At 37.0% G+C, this 27,734-nt stretch overlaps 1 pseudogene across 1 annotated transcript in view; it reads left to right on the forward strand.

The window, feature by feature from the left end:
- LOC400464 (ubiquitin conjugating enzyme E2 Q2 pseudogene) overlaps positions 1-27,734 on the forward strand; it is a 75,960-nt pseudogene that overhangs the window by 1,806 nt on the left and 46,420 nt on the right. The window contains exon 3 of the transcript NR_135737.1: positions 4,145-4,258. The product of NR_135737.1 is annotated as a ubiquitin conjugating enzyme E2 Q2 pseudogene (transcript). The remainder of the gene's footprint in view (positions 1-4,144; positions 4,259-27,734) is intronic.

The raw sequence follows: 27,734 nt of genomic DNA on the forward strand, positions 1-27,734 counted from the left end.
AAGTGAAAATGTAAAGCATGACTGGAGAGCCAGAGAGATAAAGCAAGGGTCCCTTTCTCCAGATCCTTTGTAACAGTATTATGTGATCTCTTTTAGAAATCACTCTGAAAGATAATGCCAACTCGGAACCTAGGAAACCATCCAGTGGGTTTCTGCAGGTTAGGTGGTTCAATTCCTCATCAGCACCGTTGTTTTCTCTGCCTCAGTTTGCTTACAGTGATGTTCTCAGTAGCTGTAATTACTGTCTGTCTTTGAAAGCATTTTTTTTAGCTCACAGGGGTATATGTGCATTTTTATTTAACCAAGTGTTAGAATTTCTACTCTGCTGTTGTGGGCTCTGGGTTAGCTACTTTGGTTGTTTAGTTGTAAAATGATTAGCAGGGAAAACCGTGTGTGTGTGTGTGTGTGTGTGTGTGTGTGTGTGTGTTTTAAGTTTCTTTTGTTGTCAGAGCACTTAGAATTTTATTTTATATGGTAATTCTGTCAGTTTACTTTATTCTCCACCCCACATTTATTGAACAGCAAAGTATGAAAGTAGTGTCCCATAACTAGCTTTCAGAAGAATTACAATTGCTGTATATCTGAAGTTCTTTTCTTTTCTTTTCTTTTCGACGGATTCTCACTCTGTCACCCAGGCTGGAGTGCAGTGGCACGATCTGGTCTCACTGCAACCTCCGCCACCCAGGTTCAAGCGATTCTCCTGCCTCAGCCTCCCGAGTAGCTGGGATTACAGGCACCTGCCACCCCACCTGGCTAAGTTTTGTGGTTTTAGTAGAGACGGGGTTCACCATCTTGGCCAGGCTGGTTTTGAACTCCTGACCTCGTGATCCACCTGCCTCGGCCTCCTAAAATCCTGGGATTACAGGTGTGAGCCACTGTGCCTGGCTGAACTTTCAAGAAGAAGTTTGTGTATCAATTTTCAAAAAACTATCATATCAAAAGAGAGCTGTGTCCTACATTTGGAAAGATACAAAAACTGAACCTTCTGGCAGGCAGTTTTGCTTGCTGGAGCTTGAGATAGAGCCACACATTGGCCTCAGTGGATTTATGGAGAAAAATAGATACAGAAAGTTATTTATAAATAAGACCAAAAAATCCTTTTCTTGAGCAGTGACAGGTAAAGAGGTTGTCTTGGTTAACCTTGAAATGTGTTGCCCTTGATCAAGACAGTTTTATGGTGGGGATGGTAGTGGAGATAAACTTGTTTGACATTTGTCCACTTATGGTAACCTTTGTGGTGGCTGTCACAGACAACTTCATCCTCACAGACCTTAAAATTACTGTAAAACTAATAGAATGGAGGAGAAACAAGGGACCTGAATAATTAGATGCTTAGATAATTGTAATGTGTTTTCATAACTGGTGAAAAACAGCAGTGTTAGAAGCACTTAAACATTCTATGTAAGGAACACTGCCTGAATTTATATTGTGATTTTTGAGCACCATTCACTGTTTAAAAACTGGCATATTGTAGGTCATATTTTAAAGACAAATAGAAAACTTATCTTTTCAAGATTGATATAAAGCTTAACCTTATCAAAATTACAAAATTTAAAAAATATGATTGAAAAATATTAATGCATAGGTTTAAATATTGGTCATCATTTTAGATGTCTTTCAAAATAGATTGTCTTTTAAATATTAAACTGAACAAACTTTGAACATGTTGTAGAGTTTGTGCTGAAGGTTAAGTTTCCTGTGGTGGTGGTGGTGGATATTTTATAATATGGATAACAAAACCTTCTTATTTTAAGAAATTTAGAAAATTTTTAGGCAAAACTAGAAAATATTACTGATAATTCTACCACTCAGAAGGTACCACTATCAGAATTTTGTATTTTTTCAGTCATCTGCGCATCTCTTTTCTCCTGTGTTTGTATATGTTCCCTCTCCCTTGAAAAATCAGATTTTTCTTGTAATCTGCTTTTTCACTCAACAATATTGTAGATCCGTGTCATAACTTACTCCTCTGCAGTGGCTTCAGTTATTGTACACTTTCTGTTAGATGATTATACCATCTAGTCAGTCATGTTTCCTGGTACTGAATACATAGGCTGTATGTGTGTGTGTGTGTGTGTGTTTCTACCTTAACTAATGCTTTAGACATCAATAGGTAGAGCTGAATACTTGAAACCTTCCAAGTGGTGGCTTTCAGTTCTCATTGCTGAATTGGTTTCTAGAGATGGAACAAATTATATTGTATGGAAAGTTTTTTTTGTTTTTTTTTTTGAGACTTAGTCTTGCTCTTGTCACCCAGGCTGGAGTGCAATGGCATGATCTCAGCTCACTGCAACATCTGCCTCCTGGGTTCAAGCGATTCTCCTGCCTCAGCCTCCCAAGTAGCTGGGATTACAGGTGCCTGCCACCACGCCGGCTAATTTTTCTAGTTTTAGTAGAGATGGGGTTTCACCATGTTGGCCAGGCTGATCTCGAACTCCTGACCTCAGGTGATCCACCTGCTTTGGCCTCCCAAAATGCTGGGATTACAGGTGTGAGCCACCATGCCCGGCCTTTTTTTCTTCTAGGTACCAGCTTGTATTTATCAGTTTGGTAAGAATGTTAGAAAGTGTGCAATAAAATGGGCAGTCTCACAGTCATGGCACAAAGTATAATTATCTTTGACTTTCTAGAAAGCAGTTTGGCTTTCTAGAAACTTGCCTAACCTCTCCGCATTTAGGCAAGATGAATTCTGACTACCCCAAGGTGGCCAACCTTGTCCCTGTGATTCCAGATCTCCCAGAAAGAGAGGTTTAGTCTCAGGGAAAACCCACATTTTCTTGGCTTAGCCCACCTTGACAGCTAATCACTGGAAATCGGGTGGGCTGGTCAGATTTTGTGTCAAGAGAGGGAGGTGGAAAGATGGGAGGGAGGTAGCAAAACCGGCCTCAGTGGAACTCTGTAAGTTAATATGGAATGGCAAAGGGATGTTTCTTCCAAGGAAGAAGTTCTAGGGAAGGAAGGTAAGTGGAGGGGAAGGCAGCAGTTCTCAAAGTTTTGGAATCAGGACTCCTTTATACTCTTAAAAATATATTGAGGGCCCAAGGAGCTTTGGTTTATGTAGGTTATATCTATTGGTATTTATCACTAGAAATTAAATCAGAAATATTTAAACTATTCTTTAAAAGCTCATCACATATTGTTATAAATGCTTTTATGAAAACATTTCTAAACCCAAAGTAGCACAGTCTTACGTTTTTTGCAAATTTCTTTGATGTTTGGTATGTCGTTTTCATCTGCATTCAATTTATTGTGTGATATTTGCTTGAAAAAATGTGAACAATGTCCAATCTCATACAGATAGCCATTTTAGATTATTGTGGAGATATATATATATATATATATATAAAATAATATATATATATTTTTTAGATGGGGTCTTGCTCTGTTGCCCAGGCTGGAATGCAGTGGTGTAATCACAGCTCACTGCAGTCTCAGTCTCTGGGGACTCAGGTGATTCTCCCACCTCAGCCTCCAGAGTAGTTGGGACTACAGGTGTGTATCACCACACCTGGCTAATTTTTTCTATCTTTTTATAGAGACAAGGTTTTGCCATGTTGCCTAGGCTTCTTTTTTGATACTCCATCAAAACTTGGTTTTTCTTGAACTTTGGATCTTTTACCCTTGCATGATATTATAACATCGTGCATTGGTCATTTAGAAAATAATGGTTCACCAAGATCTTCTACGTGTTGATACATTTGATTATATAATATCAAAATACATTCATCAATATCACCATCAATCTCATCAGAATACTTTTGGAAAGCTATGGTGTATATAAGTTTTCTAAAATTCTAATTTTTTGTTCAAAAGCTTGAATTTTATTATTGAATTTTATTATGGCCTGTCTGTTGTTTTTCTTGAATTGACAAAATCTCATTTTTTGAGAAAATGTCTCCCAAAAACCCAAGTTGAAATAACATTGTTTGTCAGTCATCCTTTCAAGTAAAAATGGTATTCCATTAAAGTGGTTAATTCACTTCACAACTTAGTCACATGAGGGTTTTTTCTCAGGCAGTCTGTAGAAATGCTCATGTGTACTTCCAATTTCATCACTTGAAATATTAAAAAGATATATTCAAGGATGAAGATGTAGTACAATTTTCACTGCTTCATCATAGACATTCTTTTTATTTTCCAACAGGGCCTTCTTCTGTCACCCATGCTGGAGTGCAGTAGCATGATCACAGCTCACGGTAGCCTCCACCTTCTGGGCTCAATCCTCCTACCTCAGCCTTCCAAGTAGCTGGGACTACAGGTATGCAACCACCATGTCCAGCTAAATTTTGTACTTTTTGTAGAGATGGAGTTTCACCATGTTGGCCAGACTGGTCTCAAACTCCTGACCTCAAGTGATCCACCTGCCTCGGCTTCCCAAAGTGCTGGGGTCACAGGCGTGAGACACCATGCCCAGCCTGCCCTTCCTTTTTAAACCTTTCCTGTGCATAGTGAAGAATACCATGACTAGTTTGGTGTTACTGCCTTTGTTTGTGCTGAAGTACCAGCATTTTTACCCACTATTGTATTTGCACCGTTACAGCAAATGTCACCATGTTAGTATTCACGTTAAAATAGTTTGGACCTGGGCGTCTGAGGGCCCCACTTTGGGAACCGTTGAAATAGGTACTTAAACCTACTATATATCATATCTTGTCATCTACAAGATTTTTAAAAACATGATTTCAGTTAATTTTTTTTGTAATTTTTACAATATGGTTTTGAGGGGTTTCAGTCCAGAGCAACAACATGTATTTTATTTAGCTTATGCTGAAGTTTACTAGATAAATACTAACCTAATAGAATGAGGTCCTAAATCTTTTTTTGCAGTTTCTTTAGCCAAAAAAAAAAAAAAACCCAAAACTAAAAGCATAAAAATGGTCCATAGGGTGTATTCCCAATGTATGCTGAAGAATTTGAAGAAGAAAATGCAATACTCAGTAAGTGGTGTTCTTTATGAATAGGATTAATTCTGAAGAGTTTCTTTTAGCCTGTGAAGGGATTTGGGACATAGTAAGAGAGGAATGAGAAGAATGAGAATAGTAAAATAAACCATTATTGAAGAGATATACTGTTAATGATGTCCTCCTTCCATACAACTTGTTTTTTTCTTTTTTTTTTTTTGAGACAAAGTCTTGCTCTGTCACCAGGCTGGAGTGCAGTGGTGCAGTCTCAGCTCACTGCAACCTCCGCCTCCCTGGTTCAAGCCATTCCCCTGCGTCAGCCTCCTGAGTAGCTGGGACTACAGGCTCGTGCCACCATGCCCGGCTAATTTTTATATTTTATTTTAGTAGAGACAGGGTTTCACCATGTTGGCCAGGGTGGTCTCAATCTCCTGACCTCGTGATCCACCCACCCTGGCCTCCCAAAGTGCTGGGATTATAGGCGTGAGCCACCGTGCCCGGCCAACTTGTTTTTCTTAAAAGAACCTTTAGTAAATATTTGGCTTCTGTGGCTTCAGGTATAATTCAGATTACTGTTTTCAAAGCAGTGTTTCCTAAAGTTGTTTGTGCGAAATTGTTTTTGTGACTTGAATCTAGTTGTTCTGAAGCTAATATATAATAATAATGGCTTCCCCCCAATTTATAATAGCAAACAGTACAAAGTAACAGACTATTAGATGAGGGATGGAAGGAGAAGGACAAGGGTTGAAAAAGTATTGCATGCTATGTTCACCATCTGGTTAATCGATACATTTGTACTCCAAATCTGAGCATCAAGCAGTATCCCATATGCAGTAACAAACCTGCATATGTACCCACTAAATCTAAAATAGATTCTGAAAAAAAAGTTCATCCATATCAGCAATAATTGAATTGAAGGTGTAAAACTGTAATAAAAATTCAGACACTACAAAGTATCTTGTAGTTAAGCTACAAAAAAAAAACCCTAAAACCATCTATATAGAAAATTTTAGGAATTGATCTTAAAGGAAATCCAAATAAGTAGAAAATTATCATGTTCATGAATGTGATAACTTAATATTAAATTACATTATTTTTCCAATAAATCTAATATGATCATTGATTTTAATAAAATATTTGATTCTAAAACGTGCATAGAATATTTTTAATAAATAACTTGATTAATTTTTAAAAATGCAGAGGGTTGGACTTGCCTTATCAGACATTGGAACTTATTACAAATATATGGGGAAAAATGTGGTAACTGGTGAAGTTTTAGTTTCCATTAAGAAATACTGGATATGGCCGGGTGCGGTGGCTCATGCCTGTAATCCCAGCACTTTGGGAGGCTGAGGAGGGCAGATCATCTGAGGTTAGGAGTTCAAGACCAGCCCTGCCAACATGGCGAAAGCCCCTCTCTATTAAAAAAAAAAAAAAAAAAAAAATTAGCCAGGCGTGGTGGCGGGTGCCTACAATCCTAGCTACTCAGGAGGCTGAGGCAGGGAGAATCACTTGAACCTGGGAGGTGGAGGTTGCAGTGAGCTGAGATTGCACCACTACACTCCAGCATGGGTGACAGAGTGAGACTGTGTCTCAAAAAAAAAAAAAAGTGCTGGATCTCAGCGGCAATGGAAAGGGAAAGGAAAGTTACTGATGGCAACATATTACTAATGGTAAATAAGCACATGAAAAGATGCTCAATATCATATGTCATTAGAAAATTGCAAACTCAAACAATGAGATGCCACTGCATAGCTATTATAATGGCCAAAATCCAAAATACCAACACTACTGAGAGCTGGTAAAAACAATGAGCAGAAATAACTTACTCATTGCTAGTGGGGATGCGAAATGGAACATCCACTTTGGAAGACAGCTTAGCAGTTTCTTATGAAACAAAGCACACTCTTAGCCTATGATTCCATAATTGTGCTCCTTGGTATTTGCCAAATGAGTTGAAAACTTATGCCCACATAAAACATGCACACAAATGTTTGTAGCAGTGTTATTCATAATTACCAAAACAAACAACCAAGATACCTTTCAACAGGCAAATGGACCAATACTCTATGGTGTAGCCATACAATGGAATATTAATCAGTTCTGTATAGAAAAAGAGCTATCAAGCCACAAAAAGGCATGGAAGAACCTTAAATGCATATTACTGAGTGAAAGAAGCCAATATGAAAGCCTACACACTATGTGGTTTCAAGTATATGACATTTTGAAAAAGGCAAAACTGTGGAGACGGTAAAAAGATCAGTCATTTCCAGGGGTTCCTGGGGAGGAAAGAAAGGAGGAATAACTAGGTAGAGCCCAGGGGATTTTTAAGGCAGTGAAACTATTATTCTGTGTAACATTGTCATGGTGGGTACATCTTATTACACCCTGTTAAAATCCATAAAATGGACACCACAAAGAGTGAACCCTAATATAATTATGAACTTTAGATAAAAATAATTTATCAACATTGGCTTATCACTTGTAACAAATGTAACATGCTAATGTTAAAAATACCATAAGATGTTAAAAATAGGAGAAATGGGGGTGGGGTGAGAGAGTCTATGGACACGCACTTTAATTTTCACTAATACCGTCTGTAAACCTAAAACAGCTCAAAAAGTAATGTCTATTAATTTATATATATATATAATATATATGTGGTTATTGCAATGTCTTATTGCAATTAATACACAGTGAGAGATTGTGTCTAAGAACTCACATGGTCTTTAATTTGAATAACAACATTGAAATACTATATTAGCGTATTTATAAATTAAGAAAAAGTAAATTTTTCATATATGAATTGTTTGTAACACTTTATTGAAATAACACCCACATCAATCCTCATCAGTTCTGATGCCCACATAATAATTAAAAGCCTCCAGCAGGTCCAATTTCATTCATTCCTAGAACCAATGAGTTTCACTCTAGCAGGCCATGAGTAGCAGTTCTTCAACTGACAATGATATCTAGAAAGGGAAAGGTATGTTCTATTTCTTTGTGACTAGTGTCCTAAGTCATGGAGACAGAATCATGGGCTTGGAAGTAACATCATCTTCCAGGCTGCTGTGTAACTCACATTCCCAAGGAACAGACTGTCTGGGAAACCCTTTGGTCTCCATCCTTGGGATTTCTTCTTCTCCTCTACATTTGGTTTCTCTTTCTCTCTTTTTCTAAGTCATTTTTTCTTTTTCCGACCAATGATGTTTGTCCTTTTGTCCTAGGACTGGATCTCATTTATCTTTCTGGGAATAGCGCCATCTCTAAAGACTCCAAGTTAACCCACTTCATAGCTAATCATTCCAGTCTAGACACTAAATATTGCAGTGTCAGTCAACATTCCCAGGGCCAGATCTTACCTCACACCTCAGGGTCATAACTCTCTTGACTACATTGGGTTCTGTCCTACTTTTCTCATTCTTGGCCATGTGTATTTTGTCCTATCCTGGGAACAAGGAGAGGAGGCAAGAGCTTTCTCTTGCATTTCCATGTTAACCTTACTACCACATTCTTCCCAGAAAGCCAGGAAATACAATGCCAATGTTTTCCATTCAGTTTATATTTCATGTATAATTAACTTTTGTGTTGAACATGAATAAACTGAAAATTTCTTGAAATAGAAACAATTTGATAGAATTTTGTGGGTACAGTACATACAATCCATGTCCAATAAATTACTGACATCTAAACTTGTTATAGATCTTTTGTTCCATCATGTACTAATTCAGTAATTCTATTGCAATAAAACTAACATTTGTTTGTTATAATTTGTTCTCGGTAAGCCTTTTTCTGTGTTTTGCTTGTGGTTCCATTAGCTTCTAGATGAGCGCTTTTGTATATCTAATTTAGAAGCTTTACATTAAGAACAGTAAGAGAAAATCCTTTAAACTGTATTTCCACTTAAAGTAAGATTATAATAACATATGCTCCACCACATATAGATGTTCACAAAACATAAGCAAGTATGAATATTTTTTCATAACCACTTATGAAGAAATAGCAGGGCTCCTATTACATGTACTGTAACGAATGATAAAGTCATAAACACATACTATGCAAAGTAGCAATAGGCAAATCAGAGAGAGAGAGAGAAAGAGAGCACAATGTTGCTTCCAGAAGACACTGAATTTATTGCTACCACTGAAGAAATTTTTGGAAAGGATGAAGCTTTTTGCTAACGTATACGATAACAACAGCAAAAGGAATAGGACCTGGAATCTTCAGTTGAATCAGTCTATTTATAATCTCGTGTAAGAGGTAGAGAGAAAACATAGGTCATTGCTTTCTCATCATTCATTAATTCACTCACTCATTCAAAACACAAATAGATGCATGCTCTGCTAGACACTGTAGATACAAATGGTTACAACAATCTCTCAAGTTTCTCAAAGCCAGTGGGGGAAATAGGCATATAAACAACAAATATCATGCACTGTCATATTGGACACTTGAAGACTGCCTATTGGACTGTGGGACTACAATATAAGATACTGTCAATTTGTCCTAAGAAGGTCACTCACGGGGGAGTGAAAACTGAATTCCGCCACAAAGGAATAGTCAAATTTTCCAGGCCAGTAGGGAAAATGCTATTCCAGATGGCAGGAACATTGTGAGCAAAGTTAAGGATCAAGGAAAAAATATAAGTATGAAGAGATGAAAGTAGAGGCACGTTGTTCAGTACAAGGGTGGAGTATTTGGTGGAGAGAAATGAGAATTAGGGAGAGACAGACAGGGTCAGATAAAAAATGGTCATGGTCCACATAAAACTAAAGAGTTTAGAATTTATCATGAGACAAATAGGTGTCATTCAAAGATATTATAAGGTACAACATGATGAGATTTGCACTTCAGAACCGCAGCCCTGATAGTGGTTTAGAGGCTGGATTACAGGTGGGGATGGAGGAGCTGTGGTGGAGGCCAGGGTAGGAGAGAAAGGAGTGTGAGGAGTGGTGGGGTGAGTGGGGTGGGGATGGATTTCCTAAAAAGGTGATAGAGGAAGAGAGATTGGGTTGGGACATTCAGAGGTGAGAACAGAAGGAAAAAAAAAAAAAACAGATCTAAAAGGAAAGAGAAGTGATAGGCCTGTGTACCAGTTTGAATAACAATACTACAACTGTTTATCGAGAGCTCATGATGTACCAAACATGATATTTTAATCCTCACTACAATTAATTTTGTAAATTTTTTTATTTTTACTTTTATCAGTTGATATTCAGAGGAGTTAAATCGCTTACTGAAGGCCATGCCAATTTTAAGTGAAGGGATGAGGTTAAAACTAAATGCTACTAGATACAGAGCTGATGTCCTCTCAACTACATTCTTTGGCCCTCTTAACTGGATCAGCAACAGGGGAGAGGGCGGAGACTAGAATAGCTCTTCACAGTTCTCTGGATCTGCTTGGATACTGTCCAGTTTGGAGGAAGAAGATGAATTAAATGGAGATATCTGAGGGATATTCAGGTGCAAAAGATAAATACGCAGTTGGATACATGGGTCTGAAGAAGGTTCCTGGTGACACTGGTTGGTAGATAGACTGAGAGCTGAAATTCACCTGCAGTAATTGTTACTCTGTGTCTTCCTGTTGAATTTATGAGTCAGATCAATATATATTTTCCTCTACCTTTTAAAGTTAGAATTTACAATACCTACCTAATAGTTACTTCCTGCAGAGTAAAAATATTTTGTATTAGTTTTTCATTGGTTGTATTATTTATTAATGATATCCTCAACAAATATGTGTTCATTAACCATTGGGTGCATTGTGCAAATTACACCACACTATTTGATGGAAAGAATGAGGTCTCTTCTTGCTAAATAGTTCTAGTCATCTCCCTTTTATAGTTTCCTTTACTTTGTCTTTAGAGCAATTTATTTTTCTATTCATTATTCATCTTATTACATGTTCTTTTTGGTTCACTTTCTCTAATCCTGTTTTGCAGGAGAAATATTATAAATAAAAACATCTGTATATAACTATAAAGCTTACACTCTCATAGCTCGCACAGAGTTTTTGCAAAAGCAAAAAGATAAAACTTTAGCTCTTTGTAGGTATGATTTTTGAGTTGAGATGGCAGGAAAATTTAGTGAGATTTTGATATAAGAGTAACAAAAGGGAGCCTCTAGGGACAAAGCAGATAATACATTGAGAGTGAACAGAAATTATTTCTCAGCCTGGCTCTGCCATGGCAGTTCTTGTCCCTTCCCTATAATTAATTATTTTCTGGTTTAACTGAGAAAACATGAGACAATCTCAAATTTCCTCAGAGCTAGATTACAATATTCCATTTTATCAGCCCTAGAACAACATGAACAGAAGCTTTAGTGGTAGTGTTATAGTCTATGCTGAGGTTTGTTAGCAGTGCATCATTACCTAAGAGATCGCTGCTTAGTTCAGCCAGTTAACTGGAGCTCACCAAAATGTTCTGCTCTTGAAAGAGAAAGCGGGGGAGAAAGGGTGGGCAGAGAGAGAGAGCAAGACAGAGCTCCTTCACAGAGCAATTCATGTAAATGCATTGTCCAATGGCCCTGAGATCCATTAATTAAATTAATTAGACTTCATAGCATTTGCTGATGAAACATGATGAAAAAAGTTGGAAGAGAATAGGAAACACATACACTGCAGCATCTGGTTTTGCCAGAGTTGGGCCCTTGAGAATTATTAAGTGATAGTTTGACATAATTCAGAATTAATAAAATCTGTCTGCCCCCTGAAAGTGTGCATTTTCATAATTTAAGTAATGCATGCTAATTAGCTTAGATCAAAATGTGAGCTCCATTGTTGCCTACAAGTTAGCATGACTTCATGACTGGTGATATAATAGTATCATCACCCCAGGGAAGGATATTTCTGTGAAATTAAGTAGTATAGTTCTATCTGAAAAATCCTGCTAATAAATACAGGCCTTATTTTGATATTTTGGAATTTTATAGGGAATTAAATACAATACAATAATGCATCCTACTGAGGTCAGACAGCTGAGAAAAACAGGTCAGTCAAATCCTCATTCCTGTGAAATTTACCAGTGGGCTTTTAAAATGGCCAAACGTTAAAGTATCTAGCATGATGCTTGAAATATAATCTGTGGAAATACACTAAACTAAAATGATCTTGTCCAGTCTCATGGTTTCAAATACTAGCCCCATGCTAACGATCAAATTTTGTATGCATTCAAAACTCCTGAACTCAGATTTAGATATCTAACATCCCGACTGGTTTCTTCACCTTACTGTTTCCCATGCCAAACTTCTTTCTTTTCTTAATCCATTTCCCCCACCTTTTCCATTATATTAAACGTAATTAAATAGGGATGTTTGGCTGAGGCTATGAAATTTGACTCACATCACATGCCAAATTCATCACCAAATCCTGTCAACTCTACTTTAAAAATATTTTCAAAGTATGACCACCTCTTACTACTACCACTCTAGTTCAAATCATCCTAGCTCTTTCCTAGGTGACTGCAGTAACATCTCACTACCTAGATCTACCCTTTGTCCTATAGTCAATTCTTATCTCAGCAGACAGCAGACTATTAAAGCTGTGAACCATATCAGCCTCCATTTCAAGTGCCTTCAGTGGCTTCCATTTCACCTCCAGCAAAATGGAAATCTCCACAATGACATCTAAGACTCTCCATGGTTGGTCCCCCTTCTTGCCTTACAACTAAAAACTCTTCTACCATTTCCACTGTATTTACTCTGCTGTAGCAGGGAGACCTATTTGCTGTCCCTTAAGTAAAGCAGTCTTTCTCCTCTGGTCTTTGCATTTGCTGGTCCTGTTACTGGGAGTGTTCTTTTTCCCATCCACTTGATGACTTCCCTCATCTCCTTCAAGTCTTTGTTGGAATGTTCTTACACAGTGAGGACTTCCCTGGCCACCATATTTAAAACAGAATCTTCAGTCCCATGTCCAGCACTCTTTATGCACCTTCCCTGTTTTATAATAGTTTGAGAAAATGAGTAAGTGTTTTGGGGACACAGTACTTACTATCACCTGATATAATTAGGCATAAAACTGTATTTCTGAATTATTTTCTTTCTTATGTATTTGTTTGCCTCCTGTCATAACTAAGCATTTAGTGAAGATTGTCTATTTTATCCACAATGGTATTCCTAATTCCTTAAAAAGTGTTTGGTATAAAACAAACATACATTGAACATTTGCTGAATAAAAGAATTATATGTAAAATTATGGTCAGGCATTATTTGAGGGGAAAACTCTTAGTCTCTAAACAAATTTATTTGGATACCTGGTAAATTATACTATAATTAATTTGGGAAATAAACTTGTTCCTCTTATGTCAATTGAGGAAAGCTTTGGCAGGAGCATTCTGCTTCATCTCCAAGTCTTTTTCTTCAAAGCCTATTGTTATTTTTTTCAAATCTGACCACCCTATGAGACCCACCCAGCTGAAGATTAGCTGGGATGCCCAGTTCCTGTTCTCACTGTGGGGTGCCCGATTTTCTGGGCAATCTGTGAGTAGATAAAGCAATGGGATGGGGTGAGGTTACAGGCATCAGCCCATTCTAAGCTTTGCTCTTCAACACATACTGTCCTCCTGAGCCAGAATGCAGACCGTGGCTACTTTTGCCCCTGCATGTCTGTTCTGATTCCTTTCTTCACATGTGATGCCTCACTATTCTTCTGCTTTTAATATGGAGCTTCATTCTCTAAGCTAAAAGGCCAAGCACAGATTCACCTGCCAATGAAGCTCTTTAAATTATCTCTTCTTTCTCAGGACTCACTGGCTGTAAAGTCCATGGAGCAAAAACAGAATTTGCTACTTTTCATTGACATTGTTGTAGTTGAGTTGTGTTTAACTAATTTGTTAAATGAACTGACACTGTACATTCTCCCTATAAAATAACAGTGTGTTTTCTATTATGTCTATTGCCTCAACTTAGCATTATGTTAACTTATTTACAAGCCAGTTTATTTAGGTTGTATTCAAGTTAGTCTTTGGTGACATAAATAAAATCAGTGATGTGGTCATAATGGAGTGGTGCTATTTATGTAAAAATATGTTGGGTCTTGAAAAGATTAGAAAAAGCTAAGTTGATTAATGTGAGGGCTAAGCAATGTAAAAATTTTAAGAAAAAATTATAAAATTAGAATAATAACAATTTTAATAAGCTAAAAGGTTTTTGCACTTCTGTTACTTTAAATTTTTGTTCTACTTTAAACAAATAAAAATTTGGAATTCTAATTGACTTGTTATGATAATAATTTATACAAAGAAGACAATGTATAGAAACTCCAGTTAATAAAGTGATAATCAAAGGGTCCTGGGCTTATATCAAAATATTGGCCAATTAATTTACATTTGTGGTTTTTTTTTAACCCTGTGATCCTCCTCCTTAACTCATTTTTTAGATTAACTATCAAAAAACTGGTCTCAATTATATTTGAATAGAAGGTTTCTACTGTATTGTTCTCTAACTTGACCATGTTCGGTACCCTTAATTAAAATATATAATTCTTTAGTAGTTTTCATAGATGTTTTCTTTCTAACTGGTTATATGAAAGCTACCCAAATAATGGGCAGGTTGAATAGTCGTGGGGTAGGCTCAATGTTGATCTGTGGAATGCTACCATAGGTATCCACAAACCTAAGACACAAAAACGCACCCTTAGAATTATTATCTGCTTATCAGTAGAACTGTGACTGAACCTGAGGCTTGCCCGACTCCGTACTTCTTGGTGTTATTCACAGCACCACAGCCTAATCTTGCTTGTTTCTTTATTTGAAGAAATCTTGAAAAAGAATTGCATTCTTTGATTTTTCTAGTTAATTAAAAATTTCACCTGAATCAGCAATATCTTACTGTGATGGCAATTGCATCTTCTAAAAAAGCACAGTGGAGATATATTTGGAATAAATATATCCAGATATTTAAGTAGTACATTCTCAAATATCGGAGTAGTATATTCTACGAATTATGTCTGCAGGCTTAGAAATAACCTTCATATAATGTTAATAAAAACCAAACTAAGTAGCTATTCAAAGTATACTCACGGCATTGGACATTTGGGGGTAATTTTCACCAACCAACAATGTCTGTATTAGTATCTTTATATGATGGTATTGTTATTTCTATAGTCTTGGTCAACAAAATTTACTCATGTTTGATATAATTTCCACATACCCATAGCATGTCTTTGGAAGTAATGCAGTGCTTGAAATTTAAGGAAAAAATATCTGGTTAGGATTCCAAAATATAAACTATTAAATAAAATAGTGCTATTTACTTTTAAGATGAGGACAGTATTTTGATGGTACAGATTATTTCATCATCCAGGTATTGAGTCTAGCACCCATTAGTTATTTTTCCTGATGATCTCCCATCTCCCTGTCTCCACTCTCTGAAAGTCCCCAGTGTGTGTTGTTCCCCTCTATGCGTCCATGTGAGTTCTCATCATTTAGCTCCTACTTATAAGTGAGAACATGTGGTGTTTGGTTTTCTGTTCCTGTGTTAGTTTGCTAAGGATAATGGCCTCTAGCTCCGTCCATGTCCCTGCAAAAGACATGATCTCTGTTCTTTTTCATGGCTTCATAGTATTCCATGGTGTATATGTACCACATTTTCTTGATCCAGTGTGTCACTGATCGCCATTTTGGTTGGTTCTATGTCTTTGCTATTGTGAATAGTGCTGCAGTGAACATATGCATGCATGTGTCTTTATAATAGAATGATTTATATTCCTTTGAGTATATACCCAGTAATGGGATTGCTGGGTCAAATGCTATTTCTGTCTTTAGGTTTTTGAAGAATTGCCACACTGTCTTCCACAATGGATGAACTAATTTACACTCCCACCAACAGTGTATAAGCATTCCTTTTTCTTCACAACTTTGCCAGCATCTGTTATTTTTTTGACTTTTTAGTAATAGCCATTCTGCCTGGTGTAAGATTGCATCTCATTGTGGTCTTGATTTGTATTTCTCTAATTATCATGAATAGACAGTTTTGAAAATTTTACAATCTTATGAAGACAAATTAATACAGAATTTTCTGAGCTAGGGTGTAAACGGCTTTTCTGGGGCAAGATTATAGAGATTAAGAAAATGAGGTAGGGAGAAATTGAGCTACATTATTGTCAAGTTTAGCTTGCTGGGAGTTAAAACAAAACAAAAAAACAAAACTGAAGTCTTGGACTTATTAATAACTATTCCTGGCTTCCTTCCCTCTGCTAAACATGGATTGTCAGATTTCTCTCTGTGAGTTGTCCTCATCCACTACTAGAGTCAGTCCCTGCACTGTATTCCCTGGCAATGATTTTGCAATGAGTTTCATTCAGGTTCTTAACACTTTAGGATAATGTGAACGTTCTCCTTTAGCTTCTCTCTGCTTCCAATGTCTTCCATTTCTATCTTCCCTGCACACAGAACAGTTTATTTATCTTTCTTAAATACGGCAACTACTCTCAATTGTCTAGAGGATAAAGCACAACACTTTTAAACTTTACCCAACTAGCCTAGAAAAAAATTTCTCATATTTGTTATCTCACAGATACTAGAATATATTGATTTATACCTACTTCTTTTTCCCACACAAATTAGCCCACTATGAATAACCTCCACAGTCTCTTTTTTGTTGTTGTTGTTATCTATCTGAATTCTGCCCATTTAAGGTAAACTGATGTCTACAATTACTCCTGCTCAAGTACTTCTAGAGCCTTCTAACATCTGGTATCCAATTCCGTCTTTAAAGTACCTACCTACTACCATGGTTTCAGTTTTCTTGACTGTATCCTAACAGAAAAAGTAGTACAAAGGGATCACAAATGCAGAATAAAAGCTAGAAACATAGAATGATTAATACTCACAAATTTTAGAGGAATGGATGGATAGTTTCATTGTAATTGAAAGTGCGGAGGATTTCTAAGAATTAGTAGACTTTAAAGCATTATTTCAGTGAATCCGTGGCTGAGCACCTACTCTAATCTGCCATCAGCCATAACGAGAAAAGGAGAATAAACCACGGATTACAAGGCCTTCCCTTCAAGGCTGGTCTTGTTTATTTCTGAATGTCTTCACAGAGAACTCAGTTCTAATTTTGCAGAGTTTTATGTTACATGCATAGGACAGAAAATAGTGACTAGGGAAGCTCTGAGATTTCTAGCATGCCTGTTGAATAAATAATACTATTTTTTCAACTTTCTTACTGCTTTCATCTTAGGATCTACAGCACTCTAAAATACTAGTCAAACTTCAGAATACTCCTGTACTAAGCTTATGGGTGATCTTTTTCTGAGATTTACTAAGGGGAAAATTTGATGGATCGCAGGCTGCCAAGCAAGTTCCCTGGAAGATGCAGATCAGACCAAGGAGCAGCCTTTTTGCCACAACAGGTAGTCATGTTACTGCTTCAGGACTGCAAGATGGAATAGATGAAAATGTGTTCATGTAGGTGGCCTTAAGAATGTCACACAGAATTTGAAAAGTGAGAGCTTATCCTTAGAAAAAGAAAAAGGCTAAAGGCTGGTAGACATAAGAGATAGGACTGGAGACTTGGAGAACAGGCTGATATCTTCTTAAATGCTGGGCAGACTTTAAAAAAAATTCTGTGGTCTGTTTTTGCTAACTAGACCCTATATACTCTTCTTAGTAACATCCTTACATGGAAATAACCATCTTTGTGCCATTAGTTCAGTCTCAGATGGAAAGAATGAGAAATCATCTAAATAGAGATGCAGAAAAGATTTAGCAGGATGAAAAGAACTGAACAGCACCGAGAGATGGGTGATATATAGTTCTGGAATCATACATTCAAAACACAAGCTGGTGAGACATTTAGAGAAAACACTTTGCATGCACTTGTCTTCAGCCCTCTAGCCCACGAATCAAAGCAGTGTTTCAGGACAACCAAGGGTTCTTTGAATCATCTCTCGTATTCCTGTGGGACTTCCCTAGTCTTTGGATCCCTCACATTGCTCACTGCTCTGTGTCTCAAGCCTCGTCTCCTTGACATCCATATGGATTAGCTTTCTGGCTGCCAGTTTAGCACCATTTCCTTGATTCTGAGAACTTTACACATAGGTATCCTGCCATTTACATTCCACATGGCTCCTCACACATGCGTACAACATCCATCAATTCATTTCTTTATAAATCTGAAATTCAGTGAGTTCCAACCATATGCTAAGGACTGTGCTAGGTGCTGGATATCAGTAGTGAGCAACACACTGATTTTTAGGAGTTTATGTGTTAAGAGGAGAGGGACTAAAATATTAAAAATTATTTAAACAAAAAGTATTTGTATAAACGTCATGTAGAAAAACATAGAATGTTTGATGGCAAATAAAACTCCTTATCTAGGGCTTCAGGTGCATTGTCCCAGAGGTGTCACCTCTAGACTAAGACCTATGGCTATTGAATTTGAAGGGACATGGGGCGGAATAGAGTGGCGAGGACTCCTGGGTAGGTGCCTTTTGTGAAATTCTGAGTTAGGAAGGATCTGTTCTCTTTGAGGAATGAGTGTAGGCTAATGCCACTGGAGCAGATTAAGCATGAGGGAGGAAGGCTTCGTCTTGCTCTCCAAGAGGACAAATGCCTGGGTAGCAGAAAGGAAAATGAAGGAAAGGAAATGGATTCAACTGCTGATTTGGACCTGGGGACAATTCAGTTGAGGGTGTGAGGAAAGTGAGGTGGCCAGTATGGCTCCATGTTTCTAGATGAAGAAAGGACATCTGGGCAGCATCTGCCTGATGTTGGCCAAGCCTATGATATACAGCAAACAGGTGCCCAGTTTCATCTGTCAAGAATAATATAAAATGTAGCAATACTTGTTCCCCTATTCACATATTTCTGAAAATAAGAGTGTGTGTGTGTGCCTGTGTGTGTAAGGTGTGGAAGTCAAGAAAAGGCTGCTGTCATGATCTCTGGGTAGTTTTTGAGAAAGGAGGAAAGGCCCAGGAAATAAAATGTAAATGAGATGCATAGTAATGGTGAAATTAAAAAATGGAGTCGGAAGTAACCATGAATTAGATCATTAAGGCAGAATGTTCTGGAAGAACATGGAGAGGATAAACAGCTTAGCTGAGTTCTTGATTACATACAGAAGTGAAACCCTTGCATATGCACAAAATTATATTAATATAAGAAGTCTTTGATGTGATTAAAGTCAAGACATTAAACTTACTGAGCATATATGAGTCATTATTTGAAATTTTTGTATATTCAAATTAAGTTGTATTATTTTTCTGGATACAATTTTTTTATATATATATTTTTATTATACTTTAACTTTAGGGTACATGTGCACAATGTGCAGGTTTCTTACATAAGTATACATGTGCCATGTTGGTGTGCTGCACCCATTAACTCGTCATTTACATTAGGTGTATCTCCTAATGCTATCCCTCCCCCCTCCCCCCACCCCACAACAGGCCCCGGTGTGTGATGTTCCCCTTCCTGTGTCCAAGTGTTCTCATTGTTCAATTCCCACCTATGAGTGAGAATATGTGGTGTTTGGTTTTTTGTCCTTGCGATAGTTTGCTGAGAATGATGGTTTCCAGCTTCATCCATGTCCCTACAAAGGACATGAACTCATCCTTTTTTATGGCTGCATAGTATTCCATGGTGTATATGTGCCACATTTTCTCAATCCATTCTATCATTGATGGACATTTGGGTTGGTTCCTAGTCTTTGCTATTGTGAGTAGTGCCGCAATAAATATACGTGTCCATGTGTCTTTATAGCAGCATGATTTATATTCCTTTGGGTATATACCCAGTAATGGGATTGCTGGGTCAAATGTTATTTCTAGTTCTGGATCCCTGAGGAATCGCCACAGTGTCCTCCACAATGGTTGAACTAGTTTACGGTCCCACCAACAGTGTAAAAGTGTTCCTATTTCTCCACATTCTCTCCAGCACCTGTTGTTTCCTGACTTTTTAATGATTGCCATTCTAACTGGTGTGAGATGGTATCTCATTGTGGTTTTGATTTGCATTTCTCTGATGGCCAGTGATGATGAGCATTTTTTTCATGTGTCTGTTGGCTGCATAAATGTCTTCTTTTGAGAAGTGTCTGTTCATATCCTTCGCCCACTTTTTGATAGGGTTGTTTGTTTTTTCTCTTGTAAATTTGTTTAAGTTCTTTGTAGATTCTGGATATTAGCCCTTTGTCAGATGAGTAGATTGCAAAAATTTTCTCCCATTCTGTAGGTTGCCTGTTCACTCTGATGGTAGTTTCTTTTGCTGTGCAGAAGTTCTTTAGTTTAATTAGATCCCATTTGTCAATTTTGGCTTTTGTTGCCATTGCTTTTGGTGTTTTAGACATGAAGTCCTTGCCCATGCCTATGTCCTGAATGGTATTGCCTAGGTTTTCTTCTAGGGTTTTTATGGTTTTAGGTCTAACATTTAAGTCTTCAATCCATCTTGAATTAATTTTTGTATAAGGTGTAAGGAAGGGATCCAGTTTCAGCTTTCTCCATATGGCAAGCCAGTTTTCCGAGCACCATTTGTTAAATAGGTAATCCTTTCCCCATTTCTTGTTTTTGTCAGGTTTGTCAAAGATCAGATAGTTGTAGATGTGTGGTATTATTTCTGAGGGCTCTGTTCTATTCCATTGGTCTATATCTCTGTTTTGGTACCAGTACCATGCTGTTTCGGTTACTGTAGCCTTGTAGTATAGTTTGAAGTCAGGTAGCGTGATGCCTCCAGCTTTGTTCTTTTGGCTTAGGATTGACTTGGCAATGCGGGCTCTTTTTTGGTTCCATATGAACTTTAAAGTAGTTTTTTCCAATTCTGTGAAGAAAGTCATTGGTAGCTTGATGGGGGTGGCATTGAATCTACAAATTACCTTGGGCAGTATGGCCATTTTCACGATATTGATTCTTCCTATCCATGAGCATGGAATGTTCTTTCGTTTGCTTGTGTCCTGTTTTATTTTGTTGAGCAGTGGTTTGTAGTTCTCCTTGAGGAGGTCCTTCACATCCCTTGTAAGTTGGATTCCTAGGTATTTTATTCTCTTTGAAGCAATTGTGAATGGGAGTTCACTCATGATTTGACTGTTTGTCTGTTATTGGTATATAAGAATGCTTGTGATTTTTGCACATTGATTTTGTATCCTAAGGCTTTGCTGAAGTTATTTATCAGCTTAAGGAGATTTTGGGCTGAGACGATGGGGTTTTCTGGATATACAATCATGTCATCTGCAAACAGGGACAATTTGACTTCCTCTTTTCCTAATTGAATACCCTTTATTTCTTTCTCCTGCCTAATTGCCCTGGCCAGAACTTCCAACACTATGTTGAATAGGAGTGGTGAGAGAGGGCATCCCTGTCTTGTGCCAGTTTTCAAAGGGAATGCTTCCAGTTTTTGCCCATTCAGTATGATATTGGCTGTGGGTTTGTCATAAATAGCTCTTATTATTTTGAGATACGTCCCATCAATACCTAATTTATTGAGAGTTTTTTGCATGAAGGGCTGTTGAATTTTGCCGAAGGCGTTTTCTGCATCTATTGAGATAATCATGTGGTTTTTGTCTTTGGTTCTGTTTATATGCTGGATTACGTTTATTGATTTGTGTATGTTGAACCAGCCTTGCGTCCCAGGGATGAAGCCCACTTGATCATGGTGGATAAGCTTTTGATGTGCTGCTGTATTTGGTTTGCCAGTATTTTATTGAGGATTTTTGCGTTGATGTTCTTCAGGGATATTGGTCTAAAATTCTCTTTTTTTGTTGTGTCTCTGCCAGGCTTTGGTATCAGGATGATGCTGGCTTCATAAAGTGAGTTAGGGAGGATTCCCTCTTTTTCTATTGATTGGAATAGTTTCAGAAGGAATGGTACCAGCTCCTCCTTGTACCTCTGGTAGAATTCGGCTGTGAATCCATCTGGTCCTGGACTTTTCTAGGTTGGTAAGCTATTAATTATTGCCTCAATTTCAGAGCCTGTTATTGGTCTATTCAGAGATTCAGCTTCTTCCTGGTTTAGTCTTGGGAGGGTGTATGTGTCGAGGAATTTATCCATTTCTTCTGTATTTTCTAGTTTATTTGCATAGAGGTGTTTATAGTATTCTCTGATGGTAGTTTGTATTTCTGTGGGATTGGTGGTGATATTCCCTTTATCATTTTGTATTGCATCTATTTGATTCTTCTCTCTTTTCTTCTTTATTACTCTTGCAAGCAGTCGATCAATTTTGATGATCTTTTCAAAAAACCAGCTCCTGGATTCATTGATTTTTTGAAGGGTTTTTTGTATCTCTATCTGCTTCAGTTCTGCTCTGATCTTAGTTATTTCTTGCCTTCTGCTAGCTTTTGAATGTGTTTGCTCTTGCTTCTCTGGTTCTTTTAATTGTGATGTTAGGGTGTCAATTTTAGATCTTTGCTGCTTTCTCTTGTGGGCATTTAGTGCTATAAATTTCCCTCTACACACTGCTTTAAATGTGTCCCAGAGATTCTAGTATGTTGTGTCTTTGTTCTCATTGGTTTCAAAGAACATCTTTATTTCTGCCTTCATTTCGTTATGTACCCAGTAGTCATTCAGGAGCAGGTTGTTCAGTTTCCATGTAGTTGAGCAGTTTTAAGTGAGTTTCTTAATCCTGAGTTCTAGTTTGATTGCACTGTGGTCTCAGAGACAGTTTGTCATAATTTCTATTCTTTTACATTTGCTGAGGAGTGCTTTACTTCCAACTATGTGGTCAATTTTGGAATAGGTGTGGTGTAGTGCTGAGAAGAATGTATATTCTGTTGATTTGGGGTGGAGAGTTCTGTAGATGTCTATTGGGTCTGCTTGGTGCAGAGCTGAATTCAATTCCTGGATATCCTTGTTAACTTTCTGTCTCGTTGATCTGTCTAATGTTGACAGTGGGGTGTTAAAGTCTCCCATTATTATTGTGTGGGAGTCTAAGTCTCTTTGTAGGTCTCTAAGGAGTTGCTTTATGAATCTGGGTGCTCCTGTATTGGATGCATATATATTTAGGATAGTTAGCTCTTCTTGTTGAATTGATCCCTTTACCATTATGTAATGGCCTTCTTTGTCTCTTTTGATCTTTGTTGGTTTAAAGTCTGTTTTATCAGAGACTAGGATTGCAACCTCTGCCTTTTTTTTGTTTTCCATTTGCTTGGTAGATCTTCCTCCATCCCTTTATTTTGAGCCTATGTGTGTCTCTGCATGTGGGACGGGTCTCCTGAATACAGCACACTGATGTGTCCTGACTCTTTCTCCAATTTGCCAGTCTGTGTCTTTTAATTGGAGCATTTAGCCCATTTACATTTAAGGTTAATATTGTTATGTGTGGATTTGATCCTGTCATTATGATGTTAGCTGGTTATTTTGCTTGTTAGTTGATGCAGTTTCTTCCTAGCATCGATGGCCTTTACAATTTGGCATGATTTTGTAGTGGCTGGTACCGATTGTTCCTTTCCATGTTTAGTGCTTCCTTCAGGTGCTCTTTTAGGGCAGGCCTGGTGGTGACAAAATCTCTCAGCATTTGCTTGTCTGTATAGTATTTTATTTCTCCTTCACTTATGAAGCTTAATTTGGCTGGATATGAAATTCTGGGTTGAAAATTCTTTTCTTTAAGAATGTTGAATATTGGTCCCCACTCTCTTCTGGCTTGTAGAGTTTCTGCTGAGAGAGCTGCTGTTCGTCTGATGGGCTTTCCTTTGTGGGTAACCTGACCTTTCTCTCTGGCTGCCCTTAACATTTTTTCCTTCATTTCAACTTTGGTGAATCTGACAATTATGTGTCTTGGAGTTGCTCTTCTCGAAGAGCATCTTTGTGGCATTCTCTGTGTTTCCTAATTTGAATGTTGGCCTGCCTTGCTAGGTTGGGGAAGTTCTCCTGGATAATATCCTGCAGAGTGTTTTCCAACTTGGTTCCATTCTCCCCGTCACTTTCAGGTACACCAATCAGACGTAGATTTGGTCTTTTCACATAGTCCCATATTTCTTGGAGGCTTTCTTCGTTTCTTTTTATTCTTTTTTTTCTACACTTCTCTTCTTGCTTCATTTCATTCATTTGATCTTCAATCACTGATACCCTTTCTTCCAGCTGATCGAATTGGCTACTGAAGCTTGTGCATTCGTCACATATTTCTCGTGCCATGGTTTTCAGCTCCATCGGGTCCTTTAAGGACTTCTTTGCATTGGTCATTCTAGTTAGCCATTTGTCTAATCTTTTCTCAAGGTTTTTAACTTCTTTGTGATGGGTTCGAACTTCCTCCTTTAGCTCAGAGAAGTTTGATCATCTGAAGCCTTCTTCTCTCAACTCATCAAAGTCATTATCCGTCCAGCTTTGTTCCATTGCTGGTGAGGAGCTGCGTTCCTTTGGAGGAGGAGAGGCACTCTGATTTTTAGAATTTTCAATTTTTCTGTTCTGTTTTTTCCCCATCTTTGTGGTTTTATCTTCCTTTGGTCTTTGATGATGGTGACGTACAGATGGGGTTTTGGTGTGGATGTCCTTTCTGTTTGTTAGTTTTCCTTCTAACTGTCAGGACCCTCAGCTGCAGGTCTGTTGGATTGTGCTGGAGGTCCACTCCAGACCCTGTTTGCCTGGGTATCAGCAGCGGAGTCTGCAGAACAGCGAATATTGCTGAACAGCAAATGTTGCTGTCTGATCGTTCCTCTGGAGGTTTCAAATCAGAGGGGTACCTGCCTATGTGAGGTGTCAGTCTGCCCCTACTGGGGGGTGCCTCCCAGTTAGGCTACTCGGGGGTCAGGGACCCACTTGAGGAGACAGTCTGTCCATTCTCAGATCTCAAAATCCATGCTGGGAGAACCACTACCCTCTTCAAAGCTCAGTTGGAAATGCAAAAATCACCTGTCTTCTGCATCGTTCACACTGGGAGCTGTAGACTGGAGCTGTTCCTATTCAGCCATCTTGGAACCGCGCCTCTGGATACAAGTTTATTAAAATGAAGACAAACTTACATGGGAATATTGCCTGGAAAGTAGAATCAAATATGCAATAAATTTCTAGAAATTAACAAATGGTTTCATTTACATTATAAGCAATTATTGATTTATAACCATTAATCTTTTCATTTGTTTTCTGATCTTATAAACACTTCAAATAACATTTATTTAAAAACTTTTTAATTGATTAAAAATTAATCTCAATAATTATAATAATTTTTGGATAAAGTTTACGTAATCATCATTATTATTAAAAATGTAAAAAGTCCAACTATATAAAGTTAAACCTGTACAGAAGACCACAAACTTATTCAAGCATATTTTTGCTTTGTCAAAAATCTTTTTCCCTTAACGTCAAACAAAAGATTATAGAGCTAAGTAGTACGTTTCTATGAAAAGAAAAATAACAATGACAACAATGAAAATAAAAGTCAGGACTTAAGCTAAGAAAGAATAGAAAACCTTAAGGAATATAATAGTGACAGGCAATTTTAGCATTAATTATATAATCTCTTATTTAAAGTTAAACATCGCTATGAAAAAACTGAAACAGTCTCTTGCTGAATGTGATATGCCAGCTGAATAATGAGGTTTGGCTTCTAAGTAGCTTAAACTTAGCCTGGAAATGCAGATTGTTGGTATTTTCTCTGCCCTCCAAAATTGTGATAATGAAATCTTTTAGTCTTTCCATTTCTGTTATACATAAATATGATAAAACAAGAACAAGAAAATATGTTTTCATTGCCTTAGGATGATGCATTTCAACTCAGAGTCTTCATATAATTATCATACTATCAGAACTTCTACAATGGCAGTAGTCAATACTGAGAGCAAAAGGAATCCCAAAATTCTTCCATAACGAAATGTATTATTAGCAAAGATTTATTTAACAATTTCAAAGTATTTTATAGTCTAAAATCACATACATTCACACCTTTGTATATTTGAATAAATGCCTAAGAAAATGAAACCAATGTTTAAAGAAAACACATTTTTAAATTTTAAAGCAAAGATAATTTATAGCTCTAATTAAAATGTTAAATACCTCTTAAGTGTGTCTACGATTCATGGGCAAAGCAGTCAGTACTCTTGACGGATTTTATTTCTTGACAATTTTTGCTCACTTGAAATCCATAGAAAATATGCCCACAAGGTTAACAACAATTTTAGAATAACTTATGAATTGGCTTTTAGGTAAAGTTTCTGAATATTCCTTCTTGAGCTACATCCTGCTTCACACATAAATTATGATATAAATTGTTCTAAATGTAATATATATTATCGTTACATGTGATCAAGTGTCAAACATGTCCCCAAATACCTGTTCACCTCATCTGCATGACTGAATGGTAGAAGTTTTAGAGTTATTACCCCAAGCAACAATGTCAGCCATCTCTAATCTTCCCTACACTTCCCACAGTTCTCTCATAGATGACAATATGCCCTTCACCAAGATCCATCCTTTCTTAATTATATGGAAAACCTCAATTTCATAACCCATGAACAGAAAGGAGAAAAATCTCTCATTCTTTTACTCTCTACAGTGCCAAATATACTGTTTGATTTTTCTCTTTCTGCCTCTCTGACTCTGTTTTCCTGTGTCTTTTTCTTTATCTTCTCTCTTTTTTAGTGATCAGGTAATTGCTTCTGGTCCATACTGTGGCCTCTTTTCCATAGTTTTATTTTCCAAGCGCGCTCTGCATTATCGATTCCTCTCCCTCTCTAGATTATACCAGTTCTCTATTTTTTAGTAGCTTCATTTTGGAAACACCAGCAGTGACATTTTTATGAACACACTACATTTCCGTACACACACACGCACACACATACATACACACCTCTGTTTAAGACCTTGAAACCCAGAAAATTCTAAAAAAGTAGATCAGAGATGTACTTCCTTTCAACAAATTCAACCAAATTTTGGCCAAAAATATCTTTTTGTGAATACTTTGTAAATGTATACCCTCATCTATTGAAAATTATGCATAATGTTTCCAGTTCTGTTGATATGCTTCGGTATAGGGTGGCATTTTTTCCTATTTTCAGTTAAGAACTGAATAGAACCCAATTTTGAGAAGGATTGACAAATGAGATCCCTTCCTGAAGCAACTATGAGGGGAATATAAGGTCCACAATGTAGCTCCTTTTTGAAATATTTGTGATTAACCACTGAATTACACTAATCTCTTTGTAAAATCCTGCATTATCATGTAGCATATGCAGTATTGGAAATTTAAAAAATATATGTAATTCTTCTATACACTTCGAATTTTTAGTCCAAATGTCAAATGATAAATTATAAATGCTGAGCACTAATGTTCTCCCTCCAAATTGCATTAAAAGTGCTCTGCAGCATAGGAAATGGAAATTTTAATTCACTAGTCTACTTACAACCTCAAATTAATCTTCTTACAACATTTTCTGTCTTACAAGTATATTTACATATCAATTTACTCAACTGAAATTAGAACATTTGTAAGAATTGATATATGCATAAAAATGTTGATTCTGTATAATTAGCATTTTTATTATTGATAGCATTTTTTAAATTAGAAGAAAAAACAAGGTTTATTATGTTATGAAAAGCCAGCAGAAACATGCAATTGCGAGATTATATCCTTAAATATTCACGGATGTCCTGTTTCCGTTTTATTTACCCCAGCTTCTTGACTTAGTAATCTTGAATTCAGCAAATATTTATATATGTTGGCTAGGTATCCTTTACAATACGTAGTAAAAATCACTGATAACTTGAATGAAGCATTGCAGGAAGTATCCTAAACAACACTAGGAAAAAAATCTATTGTTAATATATTGAAAATTACAAAAGTAAATCCATCCCTCTTATGCTAAAATAATGAAATTTGTTCTTTGTAATTTCCTAGAAGTAGATGGATAATTTACAAATTTTTGATTAGTATATTATTTAACTTATTTTTTATTTATTTCATTTTTAAAATTTTG

This window comes from Homo sapiens, chromosome 15 (genome assembly GCF_000001405.40).
Source record: "Homo sapiens chromosome 15, GRCh38.p14 Primary Assembly".
NCBI classification, from domain to species: domain Eukaryota; kingdom Metazoa; phylum Chordata; class Mammalia; order Primates; family Hominidae; genus Homo; species Homo sapiens.